Genomic DNA, 18,359 nt, shown 5'->3' on the forward strand with positions numbered 1-18,359 from the left:
GCAGTCCTCCTGCCTGTTCCTCCCAAAGTGCTGTTATTACAGGCAGAAGCCTGTAGTTTTTCCTGTATCCTGTTTGTTAGAAGAAGTCACTCAGTTTAACCTATACTCAAAGGAATTAGTTTCCACCTCTTAAAAAGAAGAGTATGAAAGAGTTTGTGGACATATTTAAAAACCACCACAGATGGTTTATTCAGTAAAGTTCTTAATATGAATTAGTATTAATTTATTAATTCATTTGCACATTTTGAAGGAGAAAAACTCTGTGCTCATATCACTAGATGAAGCAAAAGCACTTGATGAAATTTAACTCCATGATGAAACCTCTCAGCAAACTAGGAAGGGAACTTCCTTAATGTGATAAAGACTTTCATTAAATTTATAATTAATTTAGGAACAGTTGACATACCTTATATTGAAGCTTTCTGTACGTAATATGATTCATCTATTTGTTAAACTTATTATTTTGTTCTTCAGTATTTTAAAATTGTGTTTATATCAGTGTTTTACATTTGGAATTGCAAAATGATATAGTGAAAGATGAAGACTGGAAGTCCTAGCTAGAGCAATTAGGCAAGAGAAGGAAATAAAGGGCATCTAAATTGGAAAGGAGGAAGTCGAATTGCCACGATCATATATATATGTGGAAAACCCTAAAAACTTCACCATAAAACTTTTAGAACTGATAAATGAATTTAGTAAGGTTGCAGAGTACAAAATCAATATACAAAAATTAGTAGTGTTTCTATACACCAATAATGAACTAGCAGAAAAAGAAGAGAGTAATCCATTTACAAAAGCTACCAAAAAATGAAATACATTTGACCAAGGAGGTGAAAGATCTCTACAAGGAAAACTATAAAACACTGATGAAGGAAATTGAAGCGGGCACAAAATATGGAAAGACATCCATATTCAAGGATTTGAAGAATTAATACTGTGAAAATGACCATACTACCAAAAGCAAGCTATAGATTCAATGCAATCCCTATCAAAATACCAGTGACAGTCTTCATAGAAATAGAAAAAAAATCCTAAAATTAATATAGGACCATAAAGGACTGCAAATGCCAAAGCGGTTCTGAGCCAAAAGGACAAAGCTAGAGGCATCACACTACCAGACTTCAAGATATACTGCAAAGCTGTAGTAACTGAAACAGCATGGTACTAGCATAAAACCAGACAGTAGACCAATTGAACAGAATAGAGAACCTAGAAATAAATCCACATATTTATAGCCAGCTGGCAAAGGCGCCAAGAACATGCTTTGGGGAAAAGACAGTCTTCAATAAATGGTGCTGGGAAAACTGGATATACATATGCAGAGTGAAACTGTACCCCTGTCTTTCACCATATACAAAAATAAACTCAAAATGGATTAAAGACTTAAATGTAAGACAAAGGCACCAAAGACAAAGTGAATCATCTATTTTCTTTTATTATTATTATTTTTTGAAGTATAGAGATGGGGTCTCACTACATTGCCCAGGCTGGTCTCAAACTCCTGGGCTCAAGTGATCCTCCTGCCTTGGCCTCTCAAAGTGCTGGGGTTATAGGTGTGAGCCATTAGCGCCCAGCTAAATACTGTATTTTCAGCCCATGTTTGCCTGCAATATGAAGAGATTGCTATACTTATTGAAAAGAAGAGACCGGAAGTGGTGGTTCATGCCTGTAATCCCAGCACTTTGGAAGGCTGAGGCAGGTGGATCACCTGAGGTCAGGAGTTCGAGACCAGCCTGGCCAACGCCATCTCTACTAAAAATATAAAAATTAACCAGGCTTGCTGGCATGCGCCTGTAGTCCCAGCTACTCGGGAGGCTGAGGCAGGAGAATCTCTTGAACCTGGGAGGCGGAGGTTGCAGTGAGCCAAGATTGCGCCACTGCACTCCAGCCTGGGCGACAGAGTGAGACTCGTCTCAAAAAACAAAAAGAACTTGCATATAAATTGACCCATGCAGTTCCAACCTGTATTGTTCAAAAAAACCAAAACCTCCCTTAGACCTAGAATCCCACTTCTGCAAATCCAGCCTACAGTTTTATCAGCCCAAACAACAACAAAAGCATCTCTTCAAGTTTATTTATTGCCGCATTGCTTATACTAAATTATTGGAAATGATCTAAAATGTCCATCAACATGGTTGTGCACTGTGGCATGCACCTGTAGTTGGGACTGCTCGGGAGGCCGAAGCAGTGCAATCTGATTGCACCTGTGAATAGCTCCTGCACTCCAGCCTGGACCAGCATGGCAAGACCCTATCTCTAAGAAGAAAATGTTCATCAACGAGAATGAGCAAATATGACCATAAGATATTTATAGGATAAAACACTAGATAACAATGAAAATGAATTAAGAAGAACTACAAGTATCTATCATGGAAATACTTCACAGTGTTATGTGAACAAAATTAAAGCATTATATATATAAAAACAGTAAAGTTTTTATATATCTGTAGAAAGTTTAACAATATGTAAGGCAATGCTATATGTTACTTAACAATCCTTTCTTTGAAATAAAAGGCAAGTTGATGTGTGTTTAAACTAGAAATCCCAGGAAAAAATCAGAAAGGTACCTGGGCTTAAAGAAAAATGCTAAACGGGGCTGGGCGCCATGACTCACACCTGTAATTCCAGCAGTTTGGGAGGCCGAAGCTGGTGGATCACCCGAGATCAAGAGTTCGAGACCATCCTAGCCAACATGGCAAAACCCTGTCTCTACTAAAAATACAAAAATTGGCCAAGTGTGGTGGCATGTGCCTGTAGTCCCAGCTACTCGGGAGGCTGAGGCAGGAGAATTGCTTGAACCTGGGAGGCGGAGGTTGCAGTGACCCGAGATTGTGCCATTGCACTACAGCCTGGGCAACAGAATGAGACTCCATATCAAAAAAAAAAAAAAAGATGCTAAAAGGAAAGCAGGGACAAGTAAATGTCAAATCCATTTCATGCCATAGAACTTTTTTTTTTTTTTTTTTGAGGCGGAGTCTCGCTCTGCCGCCCAGGCTGGAGTGCAGTGGCATGATCTCGGCTCACTGCAAGCTCCACCTCCCGGGTTCATGCCATTCTCCTGCCTCAGCCTCCCCAGTAGCTGGGACTACAGGCGCCCGCCACCACGCCCGGCTAATGTTTTGTATTTTTAGTAGAGACAGGGTTTCACCATGTTAGCCAGGATGGTCTCAATCTCCTGACCTTGTGATCCGCCATCCTTGGCCTCCCAAAGTGCTGGGATTACAGGCGTGAGCCACCGCGCCTGGCCTAGAACTTCTTACAACACCCTAAACCAGTACATTTCAACCTGAAAAGATGTTGTAACGCAGAATAAAGAAAATAAAGTACAGATATTTCATTCCCAAGGCGGGGAACTCTTCTAGGTTCCCAAGTTCTTGAGCTTCACGTGCATACAGCAGGAATCTGTCATCTTGAGGGAGTTCTTTCTTAAACCTATGGGTTTGTAAGATTTTAGTTTTCTATGCTGTCCTTTTTTGGTCATGCTTGTCAGGGAAGAATTGTTAAAAATCTATTTTAACACCCTCTGCCCTTATTCAGGGCAGTTAGAGACTTAAATTTTACGTACACATACTACCTTTGAACCTTCAGTGTGTTGTTTATGTACTGAAAGATTGCAGTTGAATTTAGATCATGCTTTGAAGTTCCCTTTGTCAGACCACATTGTTTGTACCCAAAGAAAGACTTCATTTTCTTTTTGTCTGTAATTATTTCCATACTTATTTAACTTGGTATAACATGTGGTACTGTAAAAGCATAACCCAAGCCATTGTTTGCCTTAAGCAACATTTTAGACATTTTAGATTTGGGGATGTGGTGTTTACTTATACAAGCCTTTCTTAAGCCCTTTTAATTTATATCTCAAACTTGAGGATATCCATGAAAACAGCGGAAACTTTTTCCTCACCGGATCTTGACACAAGTCAGGGATGGAAGTGAGCAAAAGGAAGTGGTGTGGTTTTTATATCATTTCAGTTGTGTTGAGATAGGGAAATGGGATAGTTTATCCACTGTACTGCTCTTTTGGGAAAGTCTGGTTTGTATATAAAAGTGAAAGGAATTGGCATAATGTTTTAATTTCTTCTGCTCCATTCAGTCATTCCCTCAATAAATATTTATTTAGTATCGACTCTGTGCCAGGCACTGTTCCAGGTGCTAAAAATATAAAGTGAGTGAAACAGACTAACCCTCCTGGCCTCATGGAGCATATATTCTAGAGCAGGTGGCAGGCAATAAAATACAGAAAAATTATATCAAATTATATAGCATGACAAATGCTAAAGAGAAAGAAACAGCCAGAAAGGAGAGGAGTGCTAGGCATGGGGATGGGATTACAGTTTTAAATAGGGTGGGCAGGAAGCCTGTAAATAAGAAAGGGATTTTGAGTAAGTGCTTGGAAGGGGCAAGGCAGCAGTCCCGGGGAAGACCATTACAGGCATAGGGATCTGCACGTGCCAGGGTCCTGCAGCAGGACTGTGAGCGGCAGGTGCAAGGAACACCTATTAGGCTGGAACGGAGGGAGGGTGGACCACTGGAGACTTTAGCTTTTTGTCTGAGTGAGTTGGAGCACCGTTGGAGGGATCTGAATGGGGTGTGATGTGGTTTAACATGCTTTCTCTTAGGATCACTCTGGCTGCTGTGTTGCAAATCCATAGTGGGCACAGGTGGAAGCAGGAGGCCAGTTAGGAGGTGCCTTCAGCAATCCAGGCAAAGGGGTTAGTGGCTTGGTCCAGAGCGAGCAGTGGAGGTAGTAGGAAGTGTGTGGGTTCTGGACAGATTCTGCAGGTACAACCAGTGGATTTGATGACAGGAAATGGAATGCAAGAAGGAAAGAGGGAGTTGTCAAGAATGACTTGAGATTTTAGGCCTGGTTACATCAGTGTAGCGATATTCTAAAAATAAAAAAAAAAAGATTTTAGACCTGGGACTTTTAAGATTTTACACCAAGTAAAGAGGCTGTCAACGGAGGTGGGAAAGACTTAGGATCTAGCAAATTTGGGAGGGAAGAGGCAAGGAAAGATAAATAGTGACAAATTGTATAGTTGCTGATAACATTGTTAAGTCAATATTTATACTATTTGAGCTGCCTTTTTTTTTTTTTCCCCCTCTGAGACAGTCTCGCTTTGTCGCCCAGGCTGGAATGCAGTGGCACAGTCTCAGCTCACTGCAACCTCTACCTCCCAGGTTCAAGCAGTTCTCCTACCTCGGCCTCAAGTAGCTGGGATTACAGGCACCCACCACCAGGCCTGGCTAATTTCTGTATTTTTAGTAGAGATGGGGTTTCACTATGTTAGCCAGGCTGGTCTTGAACTCCCCGCCTCAAGTGATCTGCCTGCCTCAGCCTCCCAAAGTGCTGGGATTACAGACGAGAGCCACTGTGCGGGCCTTAGCTGTCTTAAAAATAGCACTTATAGCAGCCTGTGTTTTCTTTTCAGATGTTATCAAGTATCTTTTCTGGTAAGACATTTATTTGCCTTTATTCAGAATTGCTAATTTTATGCTAATCTAACCCAGAATACTCAAGTGTGCCTTTCCCTTTAATCCTCATATTAGCTATATTAGCTAGAATATTTTTGGTTGTAACAGAAAAATTGACTCTCTCTGACCTAAAAAATGGAATTTATTGGCTCTTAAGAGTTCCAAAGTAATTGAGGCTTCAGACAAGGTTGCTTGAGTGGCTCATCGATGTCTCCCGGGATCTGGCTTCTTTCAGTCTCCTGGCTCTGCCTTCTGGTTCTCCTTCTGGGCCCAACATAGCTGCCAGCAGTTTCTGGGACTGCCTTATTCATATTGAGTCTGAGAGAGTGACTTTGTCACTGCAGGGTCAGTCAAAGTCCTGAGACTATTAGACCAGCTCGCCCCTGAACTTTTTGTGGCAGGGAAGATAGAATATGCTTAGTGTAAGAGCCTCTACTCCTGAGATCTTAGGGGAAATCTTTGTACCCTGAATTAAAAAAAATTTTTAAATAGTTACATAAGTGGAAATGATTGATTTTTAAAAATTGCTTTTGCATTGTACAAGCACCATGGTTAACAAAACAATTCCTTTTTAAAGCAGTCAGGTGGGAAGGGAAAAAAAGTAAAATTGTATTCATACATTAGTTTGATCAAGATAATTTTTCTTCTTAGAGATTTAATAGTGTTGCCACTTGACCAGCTGGAACTACAAAGGAACCATTAGATAGTAATGAAGTATGATACCCTTTTCAGCACTCCTTCTCACCTTTTTACTTTACATCTCCAGTTTTGCCTCGCACAAGGTCTCTTCTTCCTCTGTGGATCCTCTACCTACATGTGTCTACCTGCTAATTAGACAGGCACATGCACACTAGTTTTCTTTATCCCCAAAATTCAGTTTGCAAATGGGACCGAAGAGCTCCCTGTTCCCCTCATGACACCGACACGACAAAAAAAAGTTATTCCACTAATTCCCTTGATGGTCGGTTTAGGAGTTTCTGCCTCCACTATTGCTCTCGGTACTGGAATAACAGGCATTTCAACCTCTGTCACGACCTTCCGTAGCCTGTCTAATGACTTCTCTGCTAGCATCACAGACATATCACAAACTTTATCAGTCCTCCAGGCCCTAGTTGACTCTTCAGCTGCAGTTGTCCTCCAAGGACAACTCCGAGGCCTTGACTTACTCACTGCTGAAAAAGGAGGACTCTGTATATTCTTAAATGAAGAGTGTTGTTTTTACCTAAATCAATCTGGCCTAGTGTATGACAACATAAAAAAACTCAAGGATAGAGCCCAAAAACTTGCCAACCAAGCAAGTAATTATGCTGAATCCCCTTGGGCACTCTCTAATTGGATGTCCTGGGTCTCCCAATTCTGTCCTTTAATACCCATTTTTCTACTTCTTTTATTGGGACCTTGTAGTTTCTCAATTCATCCAAAACCGTATCCAGGCCATCACCAGTCATTCTATACGACAAATGTTTCTTCTAACAATCCCACAATATCACCCCTTACCACAAGATCTCCCTTCAGCTTAATCTCTCCCACTCTAGGTTCCCACGCCGCCCCTAATCCCGCTTGAAGCAGCCCTGAGAAACACCGCCCATTCTCTCTCCATACCACCCCCCAAAAATTTTCGCCGCCCCAACACTTCAACACTATTTTGTTTTATTTTTCCTATTAATATAAGAAGGCGGGAATGTCAGGCCTCTGAGCCCAAGCCGAGCCATCGTATCCCCTGTGACTTGCACATATACGCCCAGATGGCCTGAAGTAACTGAAGAATCACAAAAGAATGAATATGCCCTGCCCCACCTTAACTGATGACATTCCACCACAAAAGAAGTGTAAATGGCCGGTCCATGCCTTAACTGATGACATTCCACCACAAAAGAAGTGAAAATGGCCAGTCCTTGCCTTAACTGATGATATTCCACCACAAAAGAAGTGAAAATGGCCAGTCCTTGCCTTAAGTGATGACATTACCTTGTGAAAGTCCTTTTCCTGGCTCATCCTGGCTCAAAAAGCTCCCCCACTGAGCACCTTGCGACCCCCACTCTGCCCGCCAGAGAACAACTCCTCTTTGACTGTAATTTTCCTTTATCTACCCAAATCCTATAAAACGGCCCCACCCTCATCTCCCTTCGCTGACTCTCTTTTAGGACTCAGCCCGCCTGCACCCAGGTGATTAAAAGCTTTTATTGCTCACACAAAGCCTGTTTAGTGGTCTCTTCACACAGACGCACATGAAACTAGGCAAGAATCAGTGTTTCTCTACAAATTGAGTTGACAAAAAGAAATTATCTTCCCCTGCCCCCACAAAAAAAGAACCAGTATTTCTCAACAAGGAGAGTACTGTTAGCATTTGGTTCTTTATTTTGAAGGATTGTCCCTGCACATTGCATTTTCTATCCTGGTCCCTGGTCAAACTGTATGTCCTGTCATATCCCAGACATTATTCCAACCAAAAAGTCACCTACATATTTTTAGATCCTCTTAGGAGGGGGTGGTAACCCAGCCACTGCTGATGCCTGAGGGGAGTGCAAAGCTGGGTTTTTGAGGAGCTGGGACTGAGATCCTGAGTAGTAGGCACCACTGGGCCTAAAAGGATTCCATGGGGTTGGTTCTGGGAGTGTGGAAGGAAGCAGAGAGTGTAGATTGCTGCTGCCAATTGAATGCCAGTGGCATTCAGGCAACTGACAGGAACAGCGAACCAAATTGGGAAAAAGAAAGTCCCTTCTCCCCTCTTCCAGCTTTCTCTAGTTCCCCAGTTGGCAGAGCCTCTCCAGGAACCAGCTGGTGAAGGACATATTGTCAGCAGCATCCCAGCTCCAGCATCAGAAAGCAGAATCTATAGATAGAAGAGGGAGCTTTTTTTTTTTTTTTTTGGCTGAAAAGCGATAGTGTAAAAAGGGACACAGTACTTTCTGTTTTTTAATCTCATTACTTTCCTGCCAGCGCCTTAACATGCAGTAACAAGTGGAATTTGGGCTTTGTCAGCAGCAAACCTGCCACTTACTGGTTGTGTTAAGTTGGGCAAGTTTCTTTCTTTTTTTTTTTTTTTTTTTTTTTTTTTGAGATGGAGTCTCGCACTGTCACCTGAGCTGGAGTGCAGTGGTGTGATCTTGGCTCACTGCAATTTCTACCTCCTGGGTTCAAGTGATTCTTCTGCCTCAGCCTCCTGAGTAGCTGGGTTTGCAGGTGCCTGCCACCACGCCTGGCTAATTTTTTGTATTTTTAGTAGAGACAGGGTTTTACTATGTTGGCCAGGCTGGTCTCGAACGCCTGACCTCGTGAGCCACCATGCCCGGCCAACTCAGGCAAGTTTCTTTGCGCTTCATTTTTTTTTTTTTCAGAGTTATGAAGATGAAAAAAGATCTTACAGGGTTCAGTAAAAAATAACTTCCAGTTTCCTGTTTAACATATGTGCTCATGGTATACCCGACAAAACACTGCACTTTGGATTAGAAAACCTGGGTGTTAGTTTGTCATATATACTAGCTACATGGAATTCAGCAAGTTATTTATCTCCTTGAACCTATCTTTTCTCTGTAAGTAGGAATGATTTTACTTACTGTAAGGATCACAGAGATGGGATAATGCACGTAAAACTAATTTGTAAGTTATAAAAATGACAGTGACAATGGGATGCTAAGCAGGTACCATTAAATACCACCACATATCTGAGTTTCTCTGATTTAATCTGCACAAAATACCTAGATCATCTGTTTTAGGCTAGACTCTGAACTCTTTACCACCACATTAAACTGTTTTTTTCTCTATTCAATTTACCAGTAAAGGTTGAGCATCCCTAATCCAAAAATCTGAAATCTGAAATGCTGTAAAACCTGAAGTTTTTGAGTGTTGACATGACGCTCAAAGGAAATGCTCATTAGGTGTTTTGGATTTGAGTTGCTGAACCAGTAAGTATAGATAGTGCAAATATTACAAATTTAAAAATCCAAAATCCAAAACACTTCTGGTCCCAAGCATTTCTAATAAGGAGTAGTCAACTTGTACCCATTGTATGCCTATGGGGTGACCAGACCCTCTCCCTTTCCAGACAGTTCTGCAATAACTGATTCACTTCGCCTGTTTTTGGTCATTTCTGCGTGTTCTAGAGGAGAAACAGAAGAGTGACACCTAGGTCTCTTAAATAGACAGCTGACAGACATTACGAATCTCTTCGAAGTACAGATATGCCAAAGATTGCTGTGTAGTACAATCTAGTTGTAATTGTGAGACTTTTGTTGTTGTTGTTGAATACAGTTAAACAAAAAAGCTTTGGAGAAACTAGGTTAGGGAATTTGTAGTACAAGGTTGAATGATGTTTTGAAAACAGATTATCTATTTGAAAAATGTTTCAGAAACCTGGAAGCATTTCTTCTGCATCTAATGTTGAGGTCCTGGTGAAGGGTATAAAACACACAGCATCAACTATATATAATGCTATACTAGATTGTCTTGATTCTGTGGTCCTGGAAGAGTTTATACTTGTGTTGGGGAAACTATCTTGGCATAGAAGGAAAGTGAAGGTTTTGAGTGGGGCAGGGACAGTTGAGCAGAAATACAAAGGTTAAATGTGGGCTTGTTTTGATTGTTAATTAATAATTGAGCATGGGGGAAAGGTAGAGTTGGAAAGTAATTTCAGGGGTGGCGATGAAATTGGTAACTTCAAAGTGGTGGAGACATGACAGTGGAAGTTTTATACAGTGGAACTTCCCCATCCCTGTTTTAGGTCTTCACTTAGTTGCATGGTTGGCTCTCTTTGCTCCTGGCCCACGGGCATTATTGTAAAACTTTCTAAAACACCCTGTTATGAATGTCTTACCCATAGCAAGATCTGACAGCGTGGACACCAAGGCAGGCATTTCGGTAAGATTTCTGTGTATTACCTCAGATACACTCAGACAACTCTTTAAGCAAGTTATTTTCTTCAGGGTTTATGTTTAGATTTGCGGGATATTGTTTTCTACACTGATGTAAATAACTGCGAGTGGTGTTGCTCCAGTTGTACAAGTGTGTATTCCTCTAAGGATTGATGGGGAGGAGTGTAGAGAACGGGAAGGAATGGATGAGTTGCTTGTTAAGGGAAAAGATGATATTCTTATGCTAATCCAGGCCCTGGATAAGGAGCAGAGCAGCCATGCGAACAATGGCCTTGGAGCCAGGAAGTCTGCAGTGAGTCTATTCCTTCTCAGAAAGCTTGTCAGACCCGGCGCCTGGAGCTGCCTGGCGGGGAGGGACCCCTGGAAAGGAGAGTTTTCTCCTTGCTATTTTATGGAATTGGCTGCTGGCCAGCTTGTTGGAAATTCCCAAACTTCTCTACTAGAAAGTGAAAATCAACGGTGGGGGGCTTAACAGGAAGAGGAAGGAATGACTTTACTCTGTAGTCTGTTTTTTCAACTGACTTCAGCCTTTTCCTGTGTTTTTTTTTTTTTAAGTTCCAATTGAACTGTTGGTTCAGTTGTCTTGCTGTTTGAGGAGTTTTAAAATCTTTTACTTAAAAAAGAAATTATTTATATTTGAGTAATTCTGCCTTAATGTTATTTTCCTGAAAAGAAACAGTACCAGTCTGTGTATATAGCAAGGGGAAGTAAATTTATTTAGATGCCCATTTCGTCTAACTATTCAATAGCTTTTAAATGGCAGCATGATTAAAAAATTTTGATTATGCAGCATGTCAAATATCTGCATCTCCTTATATTCTTCACTTTGCAAGATTAGATATTTTTAATGTAAAAATTCCGATGAATCATTTAGGAATTTAAAAAATATATTTTATCGTTAGATATTACAATTACATAATTTTAAGAATGATTGTGGCCAGGCACGGTGGCTCACACCTGTAATCCCAGCACTTTGAGAGGCCGAGGTGGACAGATCGCCTGAGGTCCAGGAGTTCAAGACCAGCCTGGCCAACATGGTGAAACCCTGTCTATACTGAAAATAGAAAAATTAGCTGGACGTGGTGGTGCGTACCTGTAGTCCCAGCTACTCCGAGGCTGAAGCAGGAGAATTGCTTGAACCCAGGAGGTGAAGGTTGCAGTGAGCAGAGGTTGCACCACTGCAGTCCAGCCTGGGCTACAGAGCAAGACTCTGTCTCAAAAAAAAAAAAAAAAAAGGCTGGACGTTGTGGCTCACACCTGTAATCTCAGCACTTTGGGAGGCAGAGGCGGGAGGATCACCTGAGGTTGGGAGTTCGAGACCAGCCTGACCAACATGGAGAAACTCCATCTCTACTAATAATACAAAAATTAGCTGGGCGTGATGGCGCATGCCTGTAATCTCAGCTACTCGGGATGCTGAGGCGGGAGAATCGCTTGAACCCTGGAGGCAGAGGTTGCGGTGAGCTGAGATGGCGCCATTGCACTGCAGCCTGGGCAACAAGAGTGAAACTCTGTCTCAAAAAAAAAAAAAGAATTGTTGAAAAATAAGGTTAATATTTTGCTATGTGATTGTAGAAACAGTTAATATGAGACAAAGGAGAAGTGCTCAGTTATTAATAATTACATCTGTTTGTTGAAATGTTTACTGAGATGTAATATTACTAACTCTTTTGAGTTAGTAATATCCCCATTTTGTGGTGAAGGAAACCGAGACCTGGATAGCTTAAGTAATTCCCCAAAATCACACAGCAAATAAATACTGGAGCTGATTTTTAAAAATTATTTATATTTATTATTTTATCAGTGAATACCACATCAGTGTATGTGGTGTTAACGCCTTTATTAATGCAGTTTTTAGACGAATGGTGTTCTGGGGCCCTCCCCTCTTTTCACTCTCTTGGAAGGCCATCTCCAGAGTCATAGCTGAATATTACCGTTCTTTTAGCATAACCGATTTGTATGTTCAGCCCCAAATGTGTCCTTTAAGTTTCAGAACCAAATGCCCGTTAGACATTCCCTTTGGGTAATCTCAGATCTCTAAATTTGAACCTTTGATCTCTTCACTCCTGTCAAAATCACTCATTCCCATTTCAATAACTGTTCATGCCACAGATGTGGGAATCTTCTTTGACGCCTCACTTTCCCTTACCCTACATTTAATCCATTGCTAAGTACCACTGAGTTTTGTTTTGTTTTGTTTTGAGACAAGGTCTCGCTCTGTTGCCCAGGCTGGAGTGCAGTGGCATAATCAAAGTTCACTGCAGCCTTGAACTCCTGGGCTGAAGAGATCCTCCCACCTCAGCCTCCCTAGTGTCTGGGACTACAGGTATGCACCACCATGCCCAGCTAATTTTTTTAAGTTTTTTGTACAGATGAGGTCTTGCAGTGTTTCCCAGGCTGGTGTTAACTCCAGACCTCAAGTGATTCTCCCACCTCAGCCTTCCAAAGTGCTGAGATTACAGGTGTGAGCCACGTACCCAGCCAAAAATTATTTTTGAAGTATAGCATGAGTCCATCCACTATACCACTGCCACCCTATTCTTTTTTTTTTTAATTCATCCATCTGCACACGGATTCTGCCCTAATCTTAACCACCATTGTCATTCTCCTAAATTTCCACAATATTCTGCTTACTCATCTGTTTGCTTTTGCTATTATCCCCTCCAGTCCATTACGTAGAAGTCAGATGATGCCCACTTAGGCTTAAATCCCAAGTCCTTCATATGCCCTTGCCTGATCTGGTCTTTGTCTTCTCTGCCTCTTCACCCTCATCTCCCACTACACTATCTCTTATTCTCAACATTTCAGACATTGTTCTCTCTTTGCTTTTCTCTCCCTCAAGATCTTTGCCCACGGTGTTCCCTGTGCTTAGAACTTCCCGTCTTTCTTTGCCTGACTGACTCTATTTTTCAGATCTCAACTTAAAGGTCACTTCTCAGCATTGCTTCCCTTTCCGCTTCATCTAGATTAGAGGGGGGTCACTGCCCCTATTCCTTCAGGACCTGGCACTTTTCTTCCTTTGCACTTATCATGAGTTATGATTGTGTATCATTTGTGTTTTCTTGTTTGGTGTCTTGAGTATCTTAATTGTTTTGTTTAAGGACTCTGAACTTCATGAAGGCTGGGCCTGTTTGGCTCTGAACAGTGTATTCTTGGTATCTAATACAGAATCATGCATAGCACAGACACTTAATAAACATTTAGGGAATAAATTAATAATTCAACGGCAAGAACACTGTTTCCATAGGACTCCAGCATTGGAAGGGATAACGTAGATTATTTAGTCTAGGGCCAGGCGGTGGTGGCTCACGCCTGTAATCCCAACACTTTGGGAGGTTTAGGCGGGTGGATTGCTTGAGTCCAGGAGTTCGAGATCAGTCTGGGCAACATGGCAAACCCCATCTCAACAGAAAATACAAAATTAGCCAGGCTTGGTGACACGTGCTTGTGGTCCCAGCTACTCAGGAGGCTGAGGTGGGAGGATTGCCTGGAGCCCAGGAGGCAGTGAGCTGAGGTTGTACCACTGCACTTCAGCCTGGGCAACAGAGTGAGACTCTGCCTCCAAAAAAAAAAAAAAAATTTAGTCCAGTCTCCCTTTCTATCATGTTGGTCATGTCTTTGACAAAGATGCTCTCAAACTTTATTCCTTATGTACTCTGTGAGCAAAGTCCCTGGGTTCTTTTGGTTGTATCTCAAGTGGAGTGGTTGCTATGTCCTTTGCATTCCTGTCATTCTTCTCTCAAGTGCTTAGGAGGCCTGGCCAGGTGGAATACAGTAAGATGGTTGTCCTGTTTGATTACAGCAGCATTTCCCTTCATTCTCAGACTGCATGCATGTCTTAGGAGTTGTCATCAATACCAATACGTATTGAGCTCGTAGTCAGGGAAGATTTGATGGCTGTTCTCCATACAAGTTATCACAGCTTTTTTTGTCTATAAAAATTTCTTGCAGATTGAATTGTTATGGATAGCACCTGTTAGTGACTTCCTTTGCCAGGTTGGCAAGTGTGTTGTAAACATGGATGAGAGGAGGAAACTTCTATTTAGCACCTACTATGTACCAGGCTCTCCTAAATAGTTTAAAATGTGTATTTACATTATATAATATATATAAAATCAGGCAGGGAAGTATAGGATAGTTGTTAACATGTAGAATCTGGAATCAGACCTCCTTGATTTTAATTATGACTCTGCCACTTAACCTGTTGTGTGATCTTTGATAAGTTCCTTAAAGTCTACTTGCCTGTTTCTTCATCTGTAAAATTAAAATAATAATTTAACCTTTAAATAAGTTGGTTGATGGTTTGATAACTTAATATATGCAAAGCATTTATGACTACTGGCACATAGAGGTTAATATGTGTTAGCTATTATTTTATATGAGTTCCTTAAGTTTAAAAATATTTAAATTTATTTAATTTTTTATTTTAAAAATTATTTTAAATATGTGTTTGCTGTTATCTCATTTGGTTCTCAAAATAACTGTCAGTTAATAAATATCATTCCAGATTTGTTTGTTTGTTAAGATGGGGTCTTGCTGTGTTGCCAAGGCTGGAGTGCAGTGGCTCTTAACTGTTGTGATCACAGTGCATTGTAGCCTGGAATTTCTGGGCTCAAGTGATCCTGTTTGAGCCCAGGATTACAGCTGAGATTACAGGCGGTCACCACCACAGTTGGCCTCATTCCAGTTTTAAAGATGAGGAAACTAATTCAGAGAGGTTAAGTTAAAGGCAGATCCAGAATTTGAACTTATGCCAGGGTAGCAGGGTCGTGGATGTTTTTGCGGAAGGAACTCACACACAGTCCTTTCCTCTGAAAGGGAAAGCACTTAGAGTCTCACGGCCAGCCAGCTCTGCAGGGTGCCTTGGTTGTGGCTCTAATGAGACAAGGCCACATATTAGCTTTAAATAAACCAATGAGGAAACAGTGACAATGAAAGATGTAACAAGGCATAGCGGTCAGTCTCCTGCCCAAGACTGTGAGTTCCTTGCAGCAGGAACAACCATACTCATATTTGTATTTCTGGTACCTAACACTGGGTCGGTAATACGTACTCCAGATGCAGGCCAGTTGCAGTGGTTCACACCTGTAATCTCAGCACTCTGGGAGGAGGCCAAGGCCACAGGATTGCTTGAGGCCAGGAGTTTGAGACCAGCCCAGGCAACATAGCGAGACCCACCGCCCCCACCCCTATTAAATTAAAAAAAAAAAAAAAGATGTTGTTGGTGAATAAGTGAGTAAATTAATAAGTGAAAATTTGGGGAGGGGTGGAGACCTAGCAAGGGAGGCAGGACCAAAGCCAGGGTTTCTGGCATGGTATCCACTGGAGAGTGGTAGCCAGTGGAGGAGCAAGAAAGAAAGGTGTGGGTTTGATTTAGACAGGTGGAGTGTGATTCTAGTAGAAATATTTAGTGGGAAAATTGAAATGAGGAAGAGAGATTAGGATTGGAAATACACTGGAAACTTCTCTTGAATTGGAAACCTGGAACATATATCCTTAGAATGACAGTTGAATTATTTCAAGAAGTTTTCAAAGAAATGCTGTTAAATCATGTGGCAGACATTATTCTATAGTTATTTTAGACTTTACATCTTTTTCTCTCAGCATTATGTAATGGGAAACAATTTTATATTACAGAAATAAGAGATTGCAGGGATTTTTAGAACTAAGCTACATATAACATACACGTGTAAATGATACCTCACTGTAAACCTTCTTTGCCTCAGTACTGTGAATAACTTTGGAAAGCTAATTAAAGTGAAAATTCTTACTTAGATATTATAAAGTAGAAAGCTCAGGTTATTAATGTAGAAATCACACCAGGGTCATTGTGTCATAAATAAGCAAGATCTTTGTCATTCAGGAATAGTTCAAGCTGAAAGTCAATAAAATCAAACCACATGAAACAATGGGATGGGGGTAAAGTAGAATGATATATATCTTGATACTAATTAGCCTTTTCCCCCGTTATTTATTTAACAATTTTACTTTGAGGCATTTAAAAGTTCACTGTCTATATTAATAATCACCAAACCTTAATTGGAGAGATTATGTTTCATGTCATCCATATTAGAAGTTCAGTTTCATCTTAATAAAGTCAAATTTGCAATATTTTAGGAAATAATTTCTTTAAGATACTGCTTTTTTCCCTCCGCTCCCCTCCCCTCCTCTCCTCTTTTTTTATGAGATTGTGTCTCACTCTGTCACCCAGGCTGGAGTGCAGTGGCGCAGTCTCAGCTTACTGCAAGCTTCGCTTACTGGGTTCAAGCCATTCTCCTGCCTCAGCCTCCTGAGTAGTTGGGACTACAGGCGCCTGCCACCACACCTGGCTAATTTTTTTTGTATTTTTAGTAGAGACGGGGTTTCACTATGTTAGCCTGGATGGTCTCGATCTCCTGACCTCATGATCTGCCCACCTCAGCCTCTCAAAGTGCTGGGATTACAGGCGTGAGTCACTGCACCCGACCTTCTTTTTTTTTTTTTTTTTTTTTTTTTTGAGATGGAGTCTCGCTCTGTCGTGTAGGCTGGAGTGCAGTGGCACAATCTGCAATCTTGGCTCACTGCAACCTCTGCCTCCTGGGTTCAAGTGATTCTCCTGCCTCAGCCTCCTGAGTAGCTGGGATTACAGGCACCCACCACCATGCCTGGCTAATTTTTGTATTTTTAGTAGAGATGGGGTTTCACCATGCTGGCCAGGCTGGTCTTGAACTCCTGACTTCACTTCAGGTGATCTGCCCACCTTGGCCTCCCAAAGTGCTGGGATTACAGGTGTGAGCCACTGCACCTGGCTCCTTTTTCTTTTTTTTCCTTTAATGATGAAGCACCCTCTTTAATTAAATATGTGTAATTTTCGCCTGGCATGGTGACTCACACCTGTAATCCTAGCACTTTGGGAGGCTGAGGCTGGCGGATCACCTGAGGTCAGGAGTTTGAGACTAGCCCGGCCAAGATGGTGAAACCCCATCTCTACTAAAAATACAAAAATTAGCCGAGTGTGGTGGTGCACACCTGTAATCCCAGCTACTCAGAAGGCTGAGGCAGGAGAATCACTTGAACCCAGGAGGTGGAGGTTGCAGTGAGTCGAGATGGTGCCATTGCACTCCAGCCTGGGCGACCGAGCAAAACTCTGTCTCAAATAAAATAAAATAAAATGAATTAATATGTGTAATTTTCTAGGTCGGCTTCCTCTTCTATCTATAGAATAAATTATTTATTAGAAAGACTTAGGGTGTTTTCATTATATCTACTAGAATTTGCAAGAATGTTGATGGTTACCCTTATGTTTTAAATTTAACTTTTCCTGTTTAAGTCTTAATATAGTTGGGAATTTTCATGTTATTAATAAAATAATTAGAACAGCCAGAAAGGACTATTGAGATTGTTTAATATACTTCCCTTGTTGTACATATGGCTAATCTGAGGTCAGGAGAGGTTGCAGCCTATTAACTAAATTATTTGAAGTTTGAAATTATAGTGCCTAAAAAAAAAAAAGCAAGGATACCTTTAATCTTTTAAAATGTATTTCATTGTTTAAAGGTGTGTTTGGGCATTTGTTTCCCTTTTAGTTTTTGAAAAATTTCCAAAATTCAGTTGTATTCCTTACCTTTTAAATATTTTTGTCTTTCAGGAGTCGTAAGAAAGCAGTGGGAGTTGAAGTCATTGTCAAGTGCTTGCGATCTTTTACAAGAAAATCTCACTGAATGATAGTCATTTAAATTGGTGAAGTAGCAAGACCAATTATTAAAGGTGACAGTACACAGGAAACATTACAATTGAACAATGCCTCAGCTATACATTTACATCAGATTATTGGGAGCCTATTTGTTCATCATTTCTCGTGTTCAAGGTAAATCAGTGTTCATTTTAGTAATGTATGTGTGTATATAAAAAGCACTATTTCTTGCTTCTGTTCTTTCAACTCATCCCTGTTTGAATAGTTAGGCCCAGCCTACTAGGGCAGCTTTTAGGAAAGAAGCAAAGATGAAACACGTGCCAAATAATTTTTTAACTTGG

The 18,359-nt window shown here is 41.0% G+C and overlaps 1 protein-coding gene across 36 annotated transcripts in view, besides 5 other annotated features; it reads left to right on the forward strand.

Annotated features, from left to right (window-relative positions):
• The window catches only part of BMPR1A (bone morphogenetic protein receptor type 1A), a 177,082-nt gene that overhangs the window by 102,131 nt on the left and 56,592 nt on the right, over positions 1 to 18,359 (forward strand). For 31 of the 36 annotated variants that reach the window (NR_176213.1, NR_176212.1, NR_176211.1 and 28 more), the window contains one exon: positions 17,974 to 18,192. The exons of 4 other annotated variants lie outside the window; for them this stretch is intronic. Coding sequence is in view for 28 of the 32 variants with exons in the window: in NM_001406562.1 (NP_001393491.1) it covers positions 18,126 to 18,192 (67 nt within the window). In the remaining 4 variants the exon portion in view is untranslated. Of the gene's footprint in view, positions 1 to 9,252; positions 9,381 to 17,973; positions 18,193 to 18,359 lie in introns of all 36 variants that reach the window. One more of the 36 variants, NM_001406581.1, reaches the window with a different exon arrangement.
• Positions 6,514 to 7,166: an enhancer, noted in NCBI's record as "OCT4-NANOG-H3K27ac-H3K4me1 hESC enhancer chr10:88624164-88624816 (GRCh37/hg19 assembly coordinates)". NCBI's record gives its function as "activates a minimal SCP1, AML or CMV promoter by ChIP-STARR-seq in naive and primed H9 embryonic stem cells {active_cell/tissue: H9 hESC(naive and primed)}" and the evidence as "EXISTENCE:reporter gene assay evidence [ECO:0000049][PMID:30033119]".
• Positions 7,167 to 7,818: an enhancer, noted in NCBI's record as "OCT4-NANOG-H3K27ac-H3K4me1 hESC enhancer chr10:88624817-88625468 (GRCh37/hg19 assembly coordinates)". NCBI's record gives its function as "activates a minimal SCP1, AML or CMV promoter by ChIP-STARR-seq in naive and primed H9 embryonic stem cells {active_cell/tissue: H9 hESC(naive and primed)}" and the evidence as "EXISTENCE:reporter gene assay evidence [ECO:0000049][PMID:30033119]".
• Positions 9,711 to 10,298: an enhancer, noted in NCBI's record as "H3K27ac-H3K4me1 hESC enhancer chr10:88627361-88627948 (GRCh37/hg19 assembly coordinates)". NCBI's record gives its function as "activates a minimal SCP1, AML or CMV promoter by ChIP-STARR-seq in primed H9 embryonic stem cells {active_cell/tissue: H9 hESC(primed)}" and the evidence as "EXISTENCE:reporter gene assay evidence [ECO:0000049][PMID:30033119]".
• Positions 13,810 to 14,371: an enhancer, noted in NCBI's record as "OCT4-NANOG-H3K27ac-H3K4me1 hESC enhancer chr10:88631460-88632021 (GRCh37/hg19 assembly coordinates)". NCBI's record gives its function as "activates a minimal SCP1, AML or CMV promoter by ChIP-STARR-seq in primed H9 embryonic stem cells {active_cell/tissue: H9 hESC(primed)}" and the evidence as "EXISTENCE:reporter gene assay evidence [ECO:0000049][PMID:30033119]".
• Positions 15,019 to 15,138: an enhancer, noted in NCBI's record as "active region_3697". NCBI's record gives its function as "activates an Ori minimal core promoter by ATAC-STARR-seq in GM12878 lymphoblastoid cells {active_cell/tissue: GM12878}" and the evidence as "EXISTENCE:reporter gene assay evidence [ECO:0000049][PMID:35858748]".

This window comes from Homo sapiens, chromosome 10 (genome assembly GCF_000001405.40).
Source record: "Homo sapiens chromosome 10, GRCh38.p14 Primary Assembly".
Classification (NCBI taxonomy): domain Eukaryota; kingdom Metazoa; phylum Chordata; class Mammalia; order Primates; family Hominidae; genus Homo; species Homo sapiens.